This window comes from Homo sapiens, chromosome 1, assembly GCF_000001405.40.
Source record: "Homo sapiens chromosome 1, GRCh38.p14 Primary Assembly".
NCBI lineage: Eukaryota > Metazoa > Chordata > Mammalia > Primates > Hominidae > Homo > Homo sapiens.
Genome location: NC_000001.11, coordinates 15682955 through 15701035, shown reverse-complemented (window position 1 = coordinate 15701035; position 18081 = coordinate 15682955). Strand labels below are relative to the sequence as shown.

The following is an 18081-nucleotide window of genomic DNA, read 5'->3' as shown; positions in this document are numbered from 1 at the left end:
GTTCGAGCGATTCTCCTGCCTCAGCCTCCTGAGTAGCTGGGATTACAGGCGTCCACCACCAACATGGCTAATTGTTTTGTATTTTTAGTAGAGACAGGTTTTCACCATCTTGGCCAGGATGGTCTTGAACTCCTGACCTCATGACCTACCTGCCTCGGCCTCCCAAAGTGCTGGGGTTACAGGCGTGAGCCACCGCGCCCAGCTAATAACACCCCATTTTCATGTGATCCAAGGAATAAATCACTACTGCCAGCAGCACTTCTGCAGAGACTCTCCTCTGCGATCTAAGACAAGGCTGGGTGCTGGCCAGGGCTGAGGAATTTCATTATCGAAGAGCAGAAGAGCCCTTAGAAACCATTTGGTTAGGAAGCAGAGTTTCCTGGGGCCTCCCATTCAGTAAGAATGTCCTGCCCTGTGCAGAAGGGTGTGTGAAGGGAGTTGGAGTTAAGGAGAGGGAGAGGGAGAAGTTATCAGTGAATGAAACTGACTACTGAATGTAATGAAAATCAGAAAAATAATCACTTAGCCACAACCCTCATTTTATAGGCAGGGAGACCGGAGCCCAGGGAGACAGGGGCACTTCCTGCACACCCTAGCTCTGGCCAGCGTCCTACTACTGTACTGCAGAGTCTTGGCCAGGTGTGCTCACACACAGGGGTAGCTACTTCTGGAGCTCCTTCTGCTTCATCCCACCTGGAGATAAAGCAGTCAGGACATCAGCTGCCACCACCCCAGAAGTGCTCATCCGAGCCTGGGTGACAGAGCGAGACCCTGTCTCTAAAAATAAAATTAAAAAAACAAAACAAAACAAAAAACTGAGCAGGGCAGAGCAGCAGGGGCCATGGGCTATCCCCAGGGCTTCAGCGATGGGGCTCTGCAGGATTTAGGGGACCACATCAGGAATGTCCCAGTTGCTTCCCTCCTAGACAACATGAGATGTCAACAGAGGCTTCAGCTGCTGGGTGCCTGCCGCTTCACCAGCCCCAGGGAACTGCAATGCTTCCGATGTACACTGCTAATTTTATTTTTGTTGTTTTTTTTTTTTGAGATGGGGGCTCACTATGTTGCCCAAGCTGGAGTGCAGTGGCTCATCACAGGCACAATCATAGTGCACTACAGTCTCGAACTCCTGGGCTCAAGCAATCCTTCCACCTCAGCCTTCCATGTAGCTGGGACTATAGGCGCACACCACCATGCCCAGCCTACTCTCCTAGATTAATATATTTATGTAATATAATAATAGAGATGGAGTCTCACTATATTGCCCAGGCCAGTCTTGAACTCCTGGGCTCAAGCGATCCTCCCACCTTATCATCATACCCGGCCCACTCTCCTATTTATTTATTTTAATAATAGAGATGTGGTAAAGACACATGCACACATATGTTTATTGTGGCACTATTCACAATAGCAAATACTTGGAACCAACCCAAATGTCCATCAATGATAGACTGGATTAAGAAAATGTGGCACATATACACCATGGAATACTATGCAGCCATCAAAAAGGATGAGTTCATGTCCTTTGCAGGGATATGGATGCAGCTGGAAACCATCATTCTGAGCAAACTATCACAAGGACAGAAAACCAAACACTGCATGTTCTCCTTCATAGGTGGGAACTGAACAATGAGAACACTTGGACACGGGGCGGGGAACATCACACACTGGGGCCCATCGTGAGGTGGGGGGCAGGGGGAGGCATAGCATTAGGAGAAATACCTAATGTAAATGACGAGTTAATGGGTGCAGCAAACCAACATGGCACATGTACACCTATGTAACAAACCTGCACACCTATGTAACAAACCTGCACATTGTGCACATGTACCCTAGAAATTAAAGTATAAAATAATAATAACAATAATAAAATAATAGAGATGGGGTCTCACTATATTGCCCAGGCTGGTCTCAAACTCCTGGGCTCAAGTGATCCTCCTGCCTTGGCCTCCTAAAATCCTGGGATTACAGGCATGAGCCACTGCGTCAAGCCTACTCCCCTAATTTTAAAATCCTTCACCTGAGGTTCCACTGCACCATAGCCTAGAAAATATTTCATTCTCAATGGCAATCAAATTATAGTGAATTATAGAGCAAGAAAGCCCAGAAATCACCCCCGCATAAGAACCAATCAGAGATCTTGCAATTCAAAAACAATGAGGCTAGTTGCTCTATATGAAAAATGTTGGCCAGGCACAGCGGCTCACACCTATAATCCCAGCACTCTGAGAGGCTGAGGTGGGTGGATCACCTGAGGTCAGGAGTTCAAGACCAGCCTGGCCAACATGGTGAAACCCTGTCTCTGCTAAATATACAAAAAATTAGCCAGGTGTGGTGGTGCGCACCTGTAATCCCAGCTACTTGGGAGGCTGAGACAGGAGAATCACTTGAACCCAGGAGGCAGAGGTTACAGTGAGCCAAGATTGCACTATTGCACTCCAGCCTGGGCATCAGAGCAAGACTATGTCAAAAAAAAAAAAAAAAAAGAAAGAAAGAAAGAAAGAAAAAGAAAGAAAAACAAAAATGCTGTTGGCTGGGAGTGGTGGCTCACACCTATAATCCCAGCATTTTGGGAGCCCAAGGCAGGAAGTTCGCTTGAGCCCAGGAGTTCAAGACCAGCCAGGGCAACATAGCAAGACCCCTGTCCCTACAAAATACTAAAAAATTAGCCAGGCCTGGTGGCACACACCTATAGTCCCAACTACTTGGGATGATGAGGCGGGAGGATTGCTTTAGCCCAGGAGCTTGAGGTTGCAGGGAGTTATGGTTGTGTACTGCAGCCTGGGTGACAGAGCAAGACCCTGTCTCTAAAAATAAAAAATAAAAAATAAAAATAATATTAAAAAGAAAAATGCTGTCCTTCAGCGATGTCTTAGAAGGGCAGTCAATGCCCCTAGCCAGGAAGGGCGTGTGCCCAGACTGGGTGGCAACCTGGGTCTGGTAAAGTCCCCCAACGTGTAGAGCTGTCATAAAGGGTTTATCCACCATGGGACTGCATCGATCTTTAAGCAAGTTTGGTGAAATCAATGCTTCTTAACCATTCATTTGCCACTAAATACAGCAGCTAATTGCACAGGTTTCTTTGCCCACCTCCGAAATTACTGCTCATTAGTCCTTCTGCTGGAGAGTTGGTAGACTCTCTGCTTTACTGGCAGCTCTATTGAAAGATATGCAGGGGGTGACCAGCCTGGGCAACATGGCGAGACCCTGTCTCTACTAAATGTACAAAAAAAAAAAATTAGCTGGGCATGGTGGCATACACCTGTAGTCCCAGCTACTTGGTAGGCAGAGGCTGCAGTAGCTGTGATTGCACCACTGCATCCCAGTCTGGGTGACAGAGTGAGACCCTGTCTCAAGAAAAAGAAAGACATGCAGGGGGAAAGCTGGAAAAAAGCAGGTACTTGAATTATCTGTGCATTTCATTTTTCTGTGGATTTCATTTTTCTGTGCTTTCTTTGTGGTGTAGGAAAAATGACAGCTGAAAGTGACTAGCCTACTTGGGCACAGATCTCTAGCATAATTGACAGAACATGGTTTCCAAAAGCAGCTAAATGCTTCCTCTTCCCGGAAGGGGAGTGTGCAAGCCTCAAGGTACTATGATTACTCTGGCTGAGAACTCAGCACAGGGATTGACTTCTTACGGAGGGACCGAGGACTCCTCTTAAGGTGGGGAGAAAACTGCTAAGAGGTTCTGCCAAGGGGCCCCTCAGCGAACACCAGAGACCTAGAAGCCAGCCAATGGCCTGAAAAACAGAGTGCACACGATTCTACTCCATTCTTCTACTGCTGGGACGGAAGCAGGAGCTGGCAGAGACCCTGAGCTCGGTTTTCTGAGCTCTGCACGCTCAGTGTTGTGTGTGGCACTGGCGGAGGAGAAGGGAGTTTTTCAAAGCCTCATTTTAACCAGGCTTTCAAAGCACAGAAGCTTCAGCTGGCGTGTTCATCTTTCACTTCCCTTTTCCTCTCCTGTGCCTACACCACCACCTCATGAGTGCCTCCCCCACCCAGACAACCCAAGTATGGCCAAGGGAAATGCTCACTCTGTCACTGTCTAAATCACAATGTTAGGCTGGGGGATCCTGGGGGGACCCTTGCTGCCATTCCAAGGCCCGTGCAATACAGTCAGATATTCTACAGGCTGAAAACGTAAATACAAGGCTAGAAAGCATGATGGACCTTCCTGGATTACAAATCCATAATGGATAGTAAAGGACATTAGGGAGGACTTGGGGTGTACACCTATCCCACTGCAATTTGTTTGATGTCTGTCTCCTCTTCCAGAATGTCTGCCCCACGGGGGAAGGAGCTTGGTAGGATTTGCTCACTGTTGATTCCTATGACGAGAAGAGTGCTCAGCACATAATACTCACTCAACAAATATTTGTGCCCAGGCGCGGTGGCTCATGCCTGTAATCCCAACACTTTGGGAGGCCGAGGCGGGCGGATCACCTGAGGTCAGGAGTTCGAGACCAGCCTGACCAATATGATGAAACCCCGTCTCTACTAAAAATACAAAAATTAGCCGGGCGTGGTGGCGGGCGCCTATAATCCCAGCTACTCGGGAGGCTGAGACAGGAGAATTGCTTGAACCCAGGAGACGGAGGTTGCAGTGAGCCAAGATTGTGCCACTGTATTCCAAGCCTGGGCAAGAAGAGCAAAACTCCGTCTCAAAACAAAACAAAACAATAAAAACAAATATTTGTTAGGTGGTTTTATGGAGGACTGGCCCCCAGACTTGACCCATGGGGACGTGTTATCTGTTACTTCAAGACCAACACCATGGAGAAGGAAAAGGGTCAGAGAAATGGGAAAGAGCAAGAGCCAGAAAATGGTTTGAATCCCAGCCCTGCTCCTTGTGAGCTTAATAACCTCTGGCAGTTTACTTCTCTAAACTCCATTCCCTCATGTGTTAAACAGGCATCGGGTGGGTGTGGTGGCTCATGCCTGTAATCCCAGCACTTTGGGAAGCCAAGGTGGAGAATGGCTTGAGCCCAGAAGTTTCAGAGCAGCCTAGGCGACATGGCAAAACTCCATCTCTACAAAAAAAAAAAAAAATATAGAAAAAATTAGTTGGACGTGGTGGTGCACACCTGTAGTACCAGCTATTCAGGAGGGCTGAGGTAGGAGGATTACTTGATCCTGGGAGGTCGAGGCTGCAGTGAGCTGAGATCACACCACTGCACTCCACCCTGGGTGACAGAGCAAGACCCTGTCTCAAAAAACAAACCCCAAGGCCAGGTGCGGTGACTCACACCTGTAATCCCAGCACTTTGGGAGGCTGAGGCGGGCAGATCACCTGAGTTGGAGACCAGCCTGGCCAACATGGTGAAACCCCATCACTACTAAAAATACAAAAATTAGCCAGGCGTGGTGATGGGCATCTGTAATCCCAGCTACTTGGGAGGCTGAGGCAGGAGAATCATTTGAACCTGGGAGGCAGAGGTTGCACTGAGCTAAGATGGCGCCACTGTCCTCCAGCCTGGTGAAAGAGCGAAACTCTGTCCAAAAAAACCCCAAAAAACCCAAAGTGCCCCGACATCATGGGCCACTGACCCAGGAAACACATGTAAACATGCCAACTGTAGGGCCTGGCATGTAACAGGTGCCGAATAAACTAAATGTTAAGGATTCATGTGGTTTTATTACTCCCCTTCCTCTCAACATGTTCAGGACTCTCATGCCTCAGCAGTCTGTGAACACCAAAAACAACTTGGAGCAAAAGTGTGAACAATGAAGGTTGATTACCCTCAAAAATTAAGTTTGGAGATTTTTGTGTATTTCAAGCACGCATCAGTTCCTTCCTTGTACTCGCATAATATTGGGTTTCTCAGAATCTGTTAGTTCCAACTGTTAAATACAGTTATCTGGGGAGGAAGGGAATTATAAGAAACTAATACCTTCTTCCTTATGTATTTGTGCAATGTTTGTAGACACTTATGGCAAAGGAGGAAAAGATAAATTACAAGTACACAGCATGAGGCCAGGTGCGGTGGCTCATGCCTATAAGCCCAGGACTTTGGGAGGCCAAGGCAGGTGGATCACTTGATGTCAGAAGTTCAAGACCAGCCTGGCCAATATGATGAAACCCCGTCTCTACTAAAAATACAAAAACTAGCCCAACATGGTGGTGCCTGCCTGTAATCCCAGCTACTTGGGAGGCTGAGGCAGGAGAATCACTTGAACCCAGGAGGTGAAGGTTGCAGTGAGCAGAAATCACACCACTGCCCTCCAGCCTGGGCAACAGAGTGAGACTCTGTCTCAAAAAACAAAAAAAAAAAACAAAACAAAATACACAGCATGGAGGAGAATATCTGTGTAGAGGGCCACCTGCTTCACTGGCAAGAGGTTAGGAGAAGCTCTCAGGACCCTGGATGGTTTCAATAACGGATAGATCAATGGCCTAAACTTTAATCTCCCGCGGAAAGGACTCTCCCAGAAATCATCCTTATTCACCTGCCTCAAATGGAAGTTCTAGGATGTTTGCACCTGGAATGAGCAACACCAAGGAGGATAGGGCTGGAAAGGAGACTTCACCCAAACCAACCGGCCCTGCTGCCTGGTTTAGACCCTCAAGGAGGAGAGCTCGGGGCCCAGAGTTGCTCATTCTCTATTGCATGGCAGTTCCCAGATCCCAGGCTTAGAAACCTGTTTTTTTGTTTGTTTGTTTGTTTTTTGTGTTTTTTTTTTGAGATGGAGTCTCGCTCTGTCGCTCAGGCTAGAGTACAGTGGCGCGATCTTGGCTCACTGCGACCTCCACCTCCTGGGTTCAAGCGATTCTCCTGCCTCAGCCTCCTGAGATGGGATTACATGCATGTGCCACCATGCCCAGTTAATTTTTGTATTTTTAGTAGAGACGGGGTTTCACCATGTTGGTCAAGCTGGTCTCGAACTCCTGATCTCGTGATCTGCCCGCCTGGGTCTCCCAAAGTGCTGGGATTACAGACATGAGCCACCACACCTGGCCAAGAAACCTGTTTTATCAGCAGAGGTGGCAACCCAGAGAGCTTTCTGTCATGAGAAAAGCTCTACTGCTTCCGTTGGACAGAAGGGCACTGCCAGCTCCAGCAGCAACACACTCCTGCCGTGGTGGTGAATCCTGATGCCTGAGATGGGCACTGGAGACTCCTGAGGTAGGAATGACCCAGCCAGGAGCCCCACAATCCCTGCAAATGCCAACCTTCTTCTCCCCACAACTGTCACGAACTGAACACCAGCTCTTGCCTTTCCACATTAAGGCTTGTGTGGACCACTCTGCCTCTTACTCAATGTTTCCAGACCTAACATTTGTGTCAGCTGGCAGCAGAATTTTAGTTTTGCTGGGAATTTCTTTTCACACTGGGCTCCAGCTGGATGAGTTCTGAGGGAGACCACTGCTCCATCTGAAGCTCCGGAGTGTTAGCCATAATGGCAGAATGACCACAGACAGTCAGCCCCGTCTGAACAGCCTGTTGCTGCCAGATGGTGACCTGTTTCTGTTAAACCCCAGTGAGTTTCTGCCTGGCCTCAAATCATCACACAGGGCCTTTCAATCTGGATAGGCCTAAGCCATGGCCAAACCATGGAGAGAGCGAGCCCAGGTTGTTCTGTGATGGGATGGAAAGGACCACACAGTGTCACAAGGTTTCCAACAGAAACCTGACGTCAGAGAAGCATTTCGTAAAAGGAGAACCATATCTTAAAAGTGAACGGGCATGGGTCCGGGTGAGATGGCTCATGCCTGTAATCCCAGCACTTTGGGAGGCCAAGGCGGGCGGATCACTTGAGACCAGGAGTTCAAGACCAGCCTGACCAACATGGTGAAACCCCATCCCTACTAAAAATACACAAATTAGCCAGGTGTGGTGGTGGGCACCTGTAATCCTAGCTACTCAGGAGGCTGAGGCAGGAGAATCTCTTGAACCCAGGAGGTGGAGGTTGCAGTGAGCCGAGATTGCGCCACTGCCCTACAGCCTGGGCAACGGAGAGAGACTTTGTCTCAAAAAAAAAAAAAAAAGTGTGGCTAGGCACGGTGGCTCGCGCCTATAATCCCAGCACTTTGGGAGGCCAAGGCAGGTGGATCACTTGAGGTCAGGAGTTCAAGACCAGCCTGACCAACATGGTGAAACCCCATCTCTACTAAAAATACAAAATTATCTGGGCATGGTGGTGCATGCCTATAATCCCAGCTACTTGGGAGGCTGAGGCAGGAGAATCACTTGAACCAGGGAGAAGGAGGTTGCAGTGAGCCGAGATCGTGCCACCGTGCTCCAGCCTGAGTAACAAGAGCAAAACTCCATTAAAAAAAGAAAAAGTGAATGGGGCATGGACACAGTGGCTTGCACCTGTAACCCCACACTTTGGGAGGCTGGAGTGAGAGGAAGGCTTGAGGCCAGGAGTTCAAGACCAGCCTTAGCAACACAGGGAGACTCAGTCTCTACAAAAAAACCAAAAAACGAAAAAAGTGAATGGGCAGGGCTCAGAAAAAGCAGTTATCACTTCTCCACTAGTATCTCCTCCTGAGCCTGGGTGGAGTTACTCATGGGGTCAGGATCCCTCTGTGCACGACATGGTTTCCGGGTTAGGGACCTTCAGGTCCCTCCCCGCCCTCACCAGACAGCCTTTACTCTGGGAGAGAGGAAAGAAGGGAAATAGCTACTGAGAATTTAGGAAAAGGAGGAAGAGGAGCAGGCAGAAGGCACACTGACCCTTAACACTTCAGTTTGTAACGTGTGTGTAGATACTATTTTATGTAAATCTTTGTCCTGGTGACTCAGGTCCTTAGGGATTTTGAGAACATTTAAAACTCTTATGAGTTTTTCTGTAAAGCCACAGAGAACAAAACTATTGATCTAAACCAAATAGTCAATACAATTTTTACATCTACCTACCTACCAGTCCCTCTCCAGGAATGAGCTACCCCAGCTAATTTTTTTTTTCCCCCGCCGAGACAGGGTCTCACTCTGTCACCCAGGCTGGAGTGTAATGGCATGATCCTGGCTCACTGCAGCCTCGAACTTCTGGGCTCAAGTGACCCTCCTGCCTCAGCCTCCTGAGTAGCTGGGACTATAGGCATGTGCCACCATGTCCACCTAATTTTTTATTTTTATTTTTGAAGACACAGGGTCTCATTATGTTGCACAGGCTGGTCTTGAATTCCTGGACTCAAGTGATCCTCCCACCTCAGCCCCGCAAAGTGCTGGGATTATAGTTGTGAGCCACTATGCCCACTGCCTCGCCTCCCCGCCCCCAGCTAATTTTTTTGTACTTGCAGATCTAACCTATCTCAGGAGTAGAAAAATGAGAAAAAGTTCACCATGCAAGGCAGCCTTTTCAACTGCACAGACAGGCTGGGCTGAACAACAGCTGTGGCTCATTCACCAGCGCCAGTAAATCCCGATCCCGACTAGGGACTGGGAGACTCCTGCTCAAGGCAGTGTGCCTGGCCAGAAATAGAACTTCACTCAGAGCCGACGCCGGTGAGGCACTGTCTGCCCAAACCGAAGTGGGTGGGAGACTGAGGCGAGAGAAGGTTGTCAGGACCCAGGAACTGAGAGATGGTTACCCTATTACAATTCATTTATCCCTTTTAAAGGGTAGGAGAACAGGGGCAATTACTTTTCATTTTATGTACTTCTGAGCTATTTGTGTGTTTTTAAAAACAACTATTTTCTTAGAATAATTTTACGGCCAAGTGCAGTGGCTCATGCCTGTAATCTTAGCACTTATGCAGGCCGAGGTGGGAGGATCACCTGAGCTCAGGAGTTCGAGACCAACCTGGGCAACATAGTGAGACCTTGTCTCCACACTAAAAAATTAAAAATTAGCTGGACGTGGTGGCATATGTCTGTAGTTCCAGCTACTCAGGTGGCTGAGGCGGGAGAATCGCTTGATCCCAGGAGTTGAAGGCTACAGTGAGCCATGATGGTGCCACTGTACTCCAGCCTGGGCCACAGAGTGAAACCCTGTCTCAAACAAACACACACACAAAAAGAATCATTTTTCATTCTCTTATCCTACTCAGTGTCCCTTGCAGGATGCAATGTCATTGCCTTAGGGAATCTTCCCTGATCGTCTCCAAAGCAAACCTCCCTGCCAATTCTTTATCACATTGCTTTAATGCCTTCATAATGCTTACCATGATCTGAAATCATCTCTGTATTTGTCTACGAATTTATCACCTTCTTTTTCTTCTAGAATGTCAGCTCCATGAGGGCAGATACTCATCTGCCTGTTCATATGAACCTTCCTAGGGCCTATGATGGTGAGGTTCTAGGGAAGGTGCTCACTAAATAGTTTTGAATAACTGAATACAGGGACACATGATGGGATTTACAAGTGTCCACATTCACTCCACAAGCCTAATGTGCAAAAACACAGCTACAATAGAGATTTGGTTAACTATAGCACTGGTGCACCAACTTCTCTGGAAGTAATCCCTGGCCTACCTTGGCAAGGACTTTTTCATATGAACACATGCGTCGTATGCGAACTACTGCCTGTGGGCTAAAACCAGCCTGATACCTATTTTTGTAAATAAAGTTTTATTGGAACAAAGCCACACTCATACACATTTGGTTGCTTTTGAGCAGAACTGAGCAGTTTCAACAAAGACTATACGGCCTGAAAATATTTGCCATGTGGCCTTTTAAGAAAAAGTTGGAGCTTGAAGAAACAGCAGTGTAGTATAAGACTCTCACTGAAGCCGGAGGCAGTGGCTCACGACTGTACTTTGGGAGGCCAAGGTGGGTGTATTACTGGAAACCAGGAGTTTGAGACCAGCCTGGCCAACATGGTGAAACCCTGTCTCTACTAAAAATACAAAAATTAGCAGGGCGTGGTGGTCTGTGCCCGTAATCCCAGCTACTTGGAGGTTGAGGCACGAGAATTGCTTGAACCCAGGAGGAGGGGGTTGCAGTGAACCAAGATCATGCCACTGCACTCCAGTCTGGGTGACAGAGCAAGACTGTCTCAAAAAAACAAAACAAAAAAAAAAAAAACCTCGGCTGGGTGCGGTGGCTCACACCTGTAATCCCAGCACTTTGGGAGGCCGAAGCAGGCAGATCACCTGAGGTAGGGAGTTTGAGGCCAGCCTGGCCAACATGGCGAAACCCTGTCTCTACTAAAAATACAAAATTAGCCAGGCGTAGTGGCTCATGCCTGTAATCCCAGCTACTTGGGAGGCTGAGGCTCGAGAATCACTTGAACTTGGGAGGCGGAGGTTGCAGTGAGCTGAGATCGTGCCACTGCACTCCAGCCTGGGCAACAAGAGCGAAATTCCGTCTCAAAAACAAAAACACAAAAAACACCACCACTCACTGAAGACTGCACAAGGGTGATCTGCAGAGTCCACAGAGACGCTTGCAAGTAGTAATGGTGGCTTTTATTTAGGCCTGACTGTAAGCAAGGTATTGTGCTAAGTGCTGTAAGTGTGTTCTCTCATATAATTGAATTATCATTATAGCATTAGTAGAAGGTTCTCACTGCTGATGCGAACAGTGGTCCAGTCATCTGCCAGGATCGAGATGGTCAGTTACAAACCCAGACCCAAGTCTGCATACCGCTGAAGCCTGCGTTTGTGTCCACTAGGCTACATGGCTTCCACAGAAAGCACCTTCCAGCCGCATCTTGCAGAACCCTTGGCAATCTTAAGACAGGTCCCTCTTAAGACAGGTCACGCCTGTCCTCGGAAGACCATCTGGAAGGCCCCACTTCCTTGGGGATGCCTAGGCTGTTTCTTCTGTCTTGAATGCCTGCTTCTTCTCTTTCTCTGAACTCTACCAGTATTTCTTTCTTTCTTTTTTTTTTTTTTTTGAGACGGAGTTTCGCTCTTTTTGCCCAGGCTGGAGTGCAATGGTGCCACAACTCACCACAACCTCCGCCTCCCGAGTTTAAGCGATTCTCCTGCCTCAGCCTCCCGAGTAGCTGGGATTACAGGTATGCACCACCACACCTAGCTAATTTTGTATTTTTAATAGAGATGGGGTTTCTCGATGTTGGTCAGGCCGGTCTCGATCTCCTGACCTCAGGTGATCCGCCCGCCTCGGCCTCCCAAAGTGTTGGGGTTACAGGCATGAGCCACCGCGCCTGGCCAGGAGGTTGCTTCTTATGGCATATAGTCTTTGCTCATTCTGCAGGCATATGCAGCAGACACACCAGCTCCTCAAAAACAGAACTTGGGAAAATCACTGCCTGCCTTCCCTCCCCTGGAGAAGATGTTATTTAGTAGAACCACATGCTGATTCAAAAATGCCAAAGCTGTCGTTGACTTGGACATTTCTCTTTAACAAATCGGCAACCACAGGCTTTACTGGCAGCATCTGGGATGTTTCTGCTACTAGCTCCCTTTCTAGAATTGAATATGAATTGAATTTGCTATTGTTATCATTTCCTTTTTTTTTTTTTTTTTTGAGACAGAGTCTCCCTCTGTCACCCACGCTGGAGTGCAATGGCGCGATCTCAGTTCACTGCAACCTCCACCTCCCAGGTCAAGTGCTTCCCTGCCTCAGCCTCCCAAGTAGCTGGGACTACAGGCACGCGCCACCACACCCAGCTAATTTCTGTATTTTTGGTAGAGATGGGGTTTCACCATGTTGGCAAGGCTGGTCTTGAACTTCTGGCCTCAAGTTATCCATCCACCTTGGCCTCCCAAAGTGCTGGGATTACAGGCGTGAGCCACCATGCCTGGCCTATTGTTATCATTTTCATTTAATCATGTTAATTATTAAACTCTCCAGTTCTCTCTCACCCTCAGGAATTCTGTGTCCATATCAGAACACAGGTTGCCTTGGATTCAGATGGATTAACAGCTGTTTCACCTGTCTGGTGTTATAATGGGTATTCACCATCACAAAATCTAAGTGTGAAAATAGTTGAACTCAACAATACTCCTTGGGGATAGTGGTTGCTTTGAGGGTGTAGTTTCTGGGAGGGGAACGAGGGGCCCTCTGGGATAATGGTCATGTTCTGTTTCTTGGTCAGGGTGCTGGATATGCAGGTGTTTTCACTTTGTGAGAACTCATTAAGCTGTCCGCTCAGGACCTGTACACTTTCCTGTAGGCATGCTTCATTTTCATAAAAAGTTCTAAAGTACTCTTTGCAAATATAGAAATACACAATGGATCTTTCCTTGCAGAAATATGCATCTCATTTTCTTCACGTAAAATCCTTATAAAATGACCAGTAAGACCATTTACTGGTGGTAGGATGCAAGAAAAAAGGCAAAGCAACTCTCAAGGTGCTATATAACACATTTAGGTGAGACTGGCATTCAAGGACAAATCTGACCCCAAGACTGCTGTCCTCAATGTCTACTGCTGTAGCCAAACTAACAGGTTCCTAGTAAAGCAGACACTCTGATTCAGAAAACCAAATGTAATTTATGATGCAAGAATCACATCGCAGTTGTCTCAAACAAACACACAAAGGAAGTGGCTACCAAGAACAAATGGTGTTGTAGAACGACCTTTAGGTGGTGAGGCAGTTGAGCCATCTTCAAACCTTGTAAAATTGAGGAATGGGCTCTTGCACAAAGAAAAAAGCTACCAGTTAAGACTGGGCCAGGATCCATGCTAAACACTCTACATGTTTATTAAAACTTCACCATGCCTGTAATCCCAGCACTTTGGGAGGCCGAGGTGAGCGGATCATGAGGTCAGGAGATCGAGACCATCCTGGCTAACACGGTGAAACCCCGTCTCTACTAAAAATACAAAAAAATTAGCCGGGCATAGTGGCGGGCGCCTGTAACCTGTAGTCCCAGCTACTCGGGAGGCTGAGGCAGGAGAATGGCGTGAACCTGAGAGACGGAGCTTGCAGCGAGCTGAGATCACGCCACTGCACTCCAGCCTGGGTGACAGAGCAAGACTCCATCTCAAAAAAAACAAAAAACAAAAAACAAACAAACAAAATCTTCATAACACAGCCTGACCAATATGGGCGAAATCCCATCTCTACAAAAAATACAAAAAGTAGTCGGGCACGGTGGCTCATGCCTGTAATCCCAGCACTTCGGGGGGCCAAGGCAGGCAGATCACTTGAGGTCAGGAGTTCAAGACCAGCCTGGCCAACATGGGGAAACCCCATCTCCACTAAAAATACAAAAATTAGACGCTGGGCGCCGTGGCTCACGCCTGTAATCCCAGCACTTTGGGAGGCCGAAGCGGGCAGATCACAAGGTGAGGAGATCGAGACCATCCCTGGTTAACATGGTGAAACCCCGTCTCTACTAAAAATACAAAAAAATTAGCCGGGCGTGGTGGCCGGCGCTTATAGTCCCAGCTACTTGGGAGGCTGAGGCAGGAGAATGGTGTGAACCCATGAGGCGGAGCTTGCACTGAGCGGAGATCAGGCCACTGCATTCTAACCTGGGCGACAGAGCGAGACTCCGTCTCAAAAAAAAAAAAAAAAAATTTAGCCGGGTGTGGTGGCGCACACCTGTAATCCCAGCTACTCGAGAGGCCGAGGCAGAAGAATCGCTTGAACCTGGGAGGTGGAGGTTGTAGTGAGCCGAGATCACACCACTGCCCTCCAGCCCAGGCAACAGAGCAAGACTCTGTCTCAAAAACAAACAACAACAACAACAACAACAAAAAAACACTCCACAACATCCCTAATTTTATCCCTGCTTTACAGATGAAGAAACTGGGCATGGAGAGGTTAATAAGCCTGACCAAGGTTACAGGGTTATTAATTTGGCAGGGCGGGGATTCAATCAGGCAGCTGGACTCCAGAATCCATGCTCCTAACAATGATGCTGCCCATGGCTTTGGTTGTGATACACCCAGGGATGGGTTTGCAGTTTCTAGTGTGACATTTTCTGGGGTGCATTCCAGCTCAATAAGTGTCCTTGTCCAAACACCTACAATTATATGCACCTCAACAAACACACCTAACTCATAAGTGACAGCCTGACTTACAAAGTGAATCTCTGCCTTCAAAAGACTCATGCTTATACATGTGACAGCGTGCCCCATGTCTACTGCCTCTCCATCACAGACTTTCTCCATTCATTTGTTTGAAATCCAAAGACAAACGCCGGGCCTACCTAAAGCCACAATCAGCCCAGATTAGATTAGAAAGGTCACCTGTGTTCCTTTCTCTTCCATTAGGAAAGATGTACTGCTTCTCAACAAAGTATTTGCTCATCCTGCCCTCCTTGAGTAAGCAAAAACCATACCCCATTACATTAGCAAAGCTCAGTAAAACTACGTAAAACTCTTGTTGGATCTCTGCAATGTTACTTTAGCTGTGCTTTTAGAGGAATGTTTTCAGTAAGGGCAATTCGAGAATCTATTTTCTTTTTAAGTCACATTTATCTTTATGAAAGGTAAAATAGCTTGCCTGTGTTGCTTTTGAGGAATCTCAGTGGGAAAACAGACAATTATTTAAATATGATGGTTGATCTAATTAATTCTATCCATTTTGCTTCTTCAAGTAAAATAAGCTGCTGAGTCCCTCACCCAAGCCATTTTCTTTCTCTTTTTTCTTTCTTTCTTTCTTTTTTTTTTTTTTTTTTTCAGTTTCTGAGACTATCTGGTGAGCCAGGAATTCAAATTACACAAACACACACACAGAGAGGGAGAGAGAGAGAAAAATCCATTCTGATTTGGCCATTTAGGTTTTCAGTGAATATGGATTCTTTTAAATTTATTATTATTATTTTTATATCCAGCCCAAAAACGTCAGAATATGGATTCTACCTTCTAGCACGGACCCTTTTGCGGATATGCCAACTTCATCACAAATACATGCCCTTGACAGGTATGTACTCATTTCTACCTGGAATTGGGACAGTGATGTTTACTGCGGCAAGCCCCACAGCAAGGTGTCTGTGGTGTCACCCGGTTCCCCGGATCAGCATCCAAAATGCAATCCCCATGTACTTCAGGTTCTTATAATCAAAGCCCCTAGTGAACCTCTTCAAAGCTACCATCCTTGAGCAAGATTATTCAGGGGACTTCCCAGGAGCAGAGGCAATGTCGCCGGGACCCAGGCCATGGGAAAGTGAAGTTGCTTATCACTGGCCTCCACCCTGACTGCCAGACCCTGGGCGACGCCAGCCTGGCGGGGGGACCCGGGGATGCAGCGGATTCCACAGGAGGCTGCATGGGGTTCCTTCAGGAGCTCCCGGGGGCGCCGCTGCCCCAGTGGGGGACCGGAGGGTCGCTGACCCCTCTCCGGGAGGGCAGGGCCCCGGGCCAGGTTTGGGGAAGCTCCGAGGATGCTGACCTCAACTTTGTTCTTTAAAAATAGCTCCGAGGCCGCGGCGCTCACGTGAGCGGCGCCGCTTCCCCTCTACCGGCCCGGGGCTCCCGGCCGCTCGTCGCCCCCCGGGTCGCGGAGGGGAAGGGCGGGGGGCCCCGGCCCGGGAGAGCGCCGCCGGAGGGCGTGGGGGGCGCGGCGAGGAAGGGGCCCCGGCCGGGAGGGAGGCCGCGCTCACCTTCTTCACCGACAGCGAGATGTTCTCCAGGATCCGGTCCTTCACCTCCCCCGGCTCCATGGCGCTGCCACCGTCGCCGCCACCGCCACCGCCACCGCCGCCGCCGCCCCGCCGCCGCTTCCCGCGCCGGGGGCCGGGGGCCGCCGCCAACCGCTGCCGCCGGCCGTACGGGGGCTCCGTCGTGCCGGCCGCGGGGCCCGGCGCCCGCCGCCCGGCCCTCGCCTCGCCTGGGCCCTCGCTCCACCGCGGCCCGGAGGCTCCGGAGCGCGGCCGGCGGGGAAGGAGGCCGCGGGCTGTGCGCCGCGGCGGCGGCGGCGGCAGGAACTGATGTCAGGCGGGGCGGCGCCAGGGCCCGCCTGCGCCTGGGGACTCCGGGGACCCGGAGACCCGCACAGACCCTTGGCCGCGGCCCTCCCCAGAGACCCCGAGACCCGCCCCCAGCCCTCCTCAAGTCACAGACTCTCCCCGGCACCCCAGAGACACCCTCAGACCCCAGGGACGCCAGAGACCTCGACCCCGCCTGCCGGGGACCTCGGGGCTCCTCAGAGACCCTCCCCAAGCCCTCCTCAGCCCACAGATTCCTTCAGGGACCCCAGAGACACCCTCAGACCCCAGGGACTCCGGACACCCCGACCCCGCCTGCCAGAGACCCCCACAGACCCTGGGACCCCGGCCCTCCTCGGAGACCCTCCCCCAGGCCTCGTCAGCCCACAGATTCCCTCAGGGACCCCAGAGACACCCTCAGACCCCAGGAACTCCGGAGACCCCGACCCCGCCTGCCCGGGACACCGGCCCTCCTCAGAGACCCTGGAGACCCTCCCCCTCAGCCCTCAGGCCATAGACTCCCCCCTGGGACCTCAGAGACACCCTCAGACTCCAGGGACTCCGGAGACCCCAACCCCACCTGCTGGGGACCCCCACAGACCCTGGGCCCCCAGCCCTCCTCAGAGACCCCCAAAGACCCCGAGGCACTGGCCCTCCCCAGAGACCCTGAGACCCTCCCCACAGCCCTCCTCAGCCCACAGGATCCCCCCACAAAACCCCAGAGACTCCCACAGGCCCCAAGGACTCTGGAGACTCCGACCCCACAGGCCAGAGACCCCCACAGACCCTGAGACCCCGGCCCTCCTCAGAGACTCGAGACACCCACAGACCCTGGGCCCCCTCCCGCCGGCCCTCTTTAGTCCACAGACCCCTCCTTGGAGACCCCAGTGCACCCCACTAACTCTGGCCAGGGACCCCAAGACCCTCTTAGCCTGCAAGCCCCACTTATCTTCCTCCCCTTCCTTAGCCCAGCCACCCCCTCAATGTGCAGACCCAGGCCCCCTGGCTTTCGCAGCCTGGAGGACCCAGCACCCCCACCGGGTCAGCCTAGACTCCAGTCCCCAGCCCTAGACCCTCCCTGGGCCCCCTGGCCCTCCACAGCCTCCCCTCCTCAGTGCCTCACCCTCAAGGCCCAGTCCTACATTTGAGGTCCCTGGTGTTCCTCCCCACCCCCAAAACACACCCTCCTCACCTTCAGCCCCAATGCCCCATTCCCACTCCTTATCCTTATCCCTCTTCTTCAGCCCCACGTATCCCAAGGGCCTCAACTCCCTCAGCCCCTGAAACCCACCGTAACAACTCTCTTCCCACACACCCTCCTCAAATCCACCATCTCATAA

General features: G+C 50.1%; 1 protein-coding gene across 4 annotated transcripts in view, besides 8 other annotated features; it reads right to left on the bottom strand.

The window, feature by feature from the left end:
- The window catches only part of PLEKHM2 (pleckstrin homology and RUN domain containing M2), a 53264-nt gene that overhangs the window by 33734 nt on the left and 1449 nt on the right, over nt 1-18081 (bottom strand). For 2 of the 4 annotated variants that reach the window (NM_015164.4, NM_001410755.1), the window contains exon 1: nt 16418-16716. The exons of the other annotated variants lie outside the window; for them this stretch is intronic. In NM_015164.4, the coding sequence (NP_055979.2) occupies nt 16418-16477 (60 nt within the window). In that variant the 5' untranslated portion in view covers nt 16478-16716. Of the gene's footprint in view, nt 1-16417; nt 16717-18081 lie in introns of those variants that run through there. 4 annotated transcript variants of the gene reach the window in all.
- Nucleotides 3721-3790: an enhancer, noted in NCBI's record as "active region_244". NCBI's record gives its function as "activates an Ori minimal core promoter by ATAC-STARR-seq in GM12878 lymphoblastoid cells {active_cell/tissue: GM12878}" and the evidence as "EXISTENCE:reporter gene assay evidence [ECO:0000049][PMID:35858748]".
- Nucleotides 3861-3920: an enhancer, noted in NCBI's record as "active region_243". NCBI's record gives its function as "activates an Ori minimal core promoter by ATAC-STARR-seq in GM12878 lymphoblastoid cells {active_cell/tissue: GM12878}" and the evidence as "EXISTENCE:reporter gene assay evidence [ECO:0000049][PMID:35858748]".
- Nucleotides 3931-3980: an enhancer, noted in NCBI's record as "active region_242". NCBI's record gives its function as "activates an Ori minimal core promoter by ATAC-STARR-seq in GM12878 lymphoblastoid cells {active_cell/tissue: GM12878}" and the evidence as "EXISTENCE:reporter gene assay evidence [ECO:0000049][PMID:35858748]".
- Nucleotides 3991-4040: an enhancer, noted in NCBI's record as "active region_241". NCBI's record gives its function as "activates an Ori minimal core promoter by ATAC-STARR-seq in GM12878 lymphoblastoid cells {active_cell/tissue: GM12878}" and the evidence as "EXISTENCE:reporter gene assay evidence [ECO:0000049][PMID:35858748]".
- Nucleotides 15733-15792: an enhancer, noted in NCBI's record as "active region_240". NCBI's record gives its function as "activates an Ori minimal core promoter by ATAC-STARR-seq in GM12878 lymphoblastoid cells {active_cell/tissue: GM12878}" and the evidence as "EXISTENCE:reporter gene assay evidence [ECO:0000049][PMID:35858748]".
- Nucleotides 16023-16092: a silencer, noted in NCBI's record as "silent region_312". NCBI's record gives its function as "represses an Ori minimal core promoter by ATAC-STARR-seq in GM12878 lymphoblastoid cells {active_cell/tissue: GM12878}" and the evidence as "EXISTENCE:reporter gene assay evidence [ECO:0000049][PMID:35858748]".
- Nucleotides 16613-16692: a silencer, noted in NCBI's record as "silent region_311". NCBI's record gives its function as "represses an Ori minimal core promoter by ATAC-STARR-seq in GM12878 lymphoblastoid cells {active_cell/tissue: GM12878}" and the evidence as "EXISTENCE:reporter gene assay evidence [ECO:0000049][PMID:35858748]".
- Nucleotides 16783-16862: a silencer, noted in NCBI's record as "silent region_310". NCBI's record gives its function as "represses an Ori minimal core promoter by ATAC-STARR-seq in GM12878 lymphoblastoid cells {active_cell/tissue: GM12878}" and the evidence as "EXISTENCE:reporter gene assay evidence [ECO:0000049][PMID:35858748]".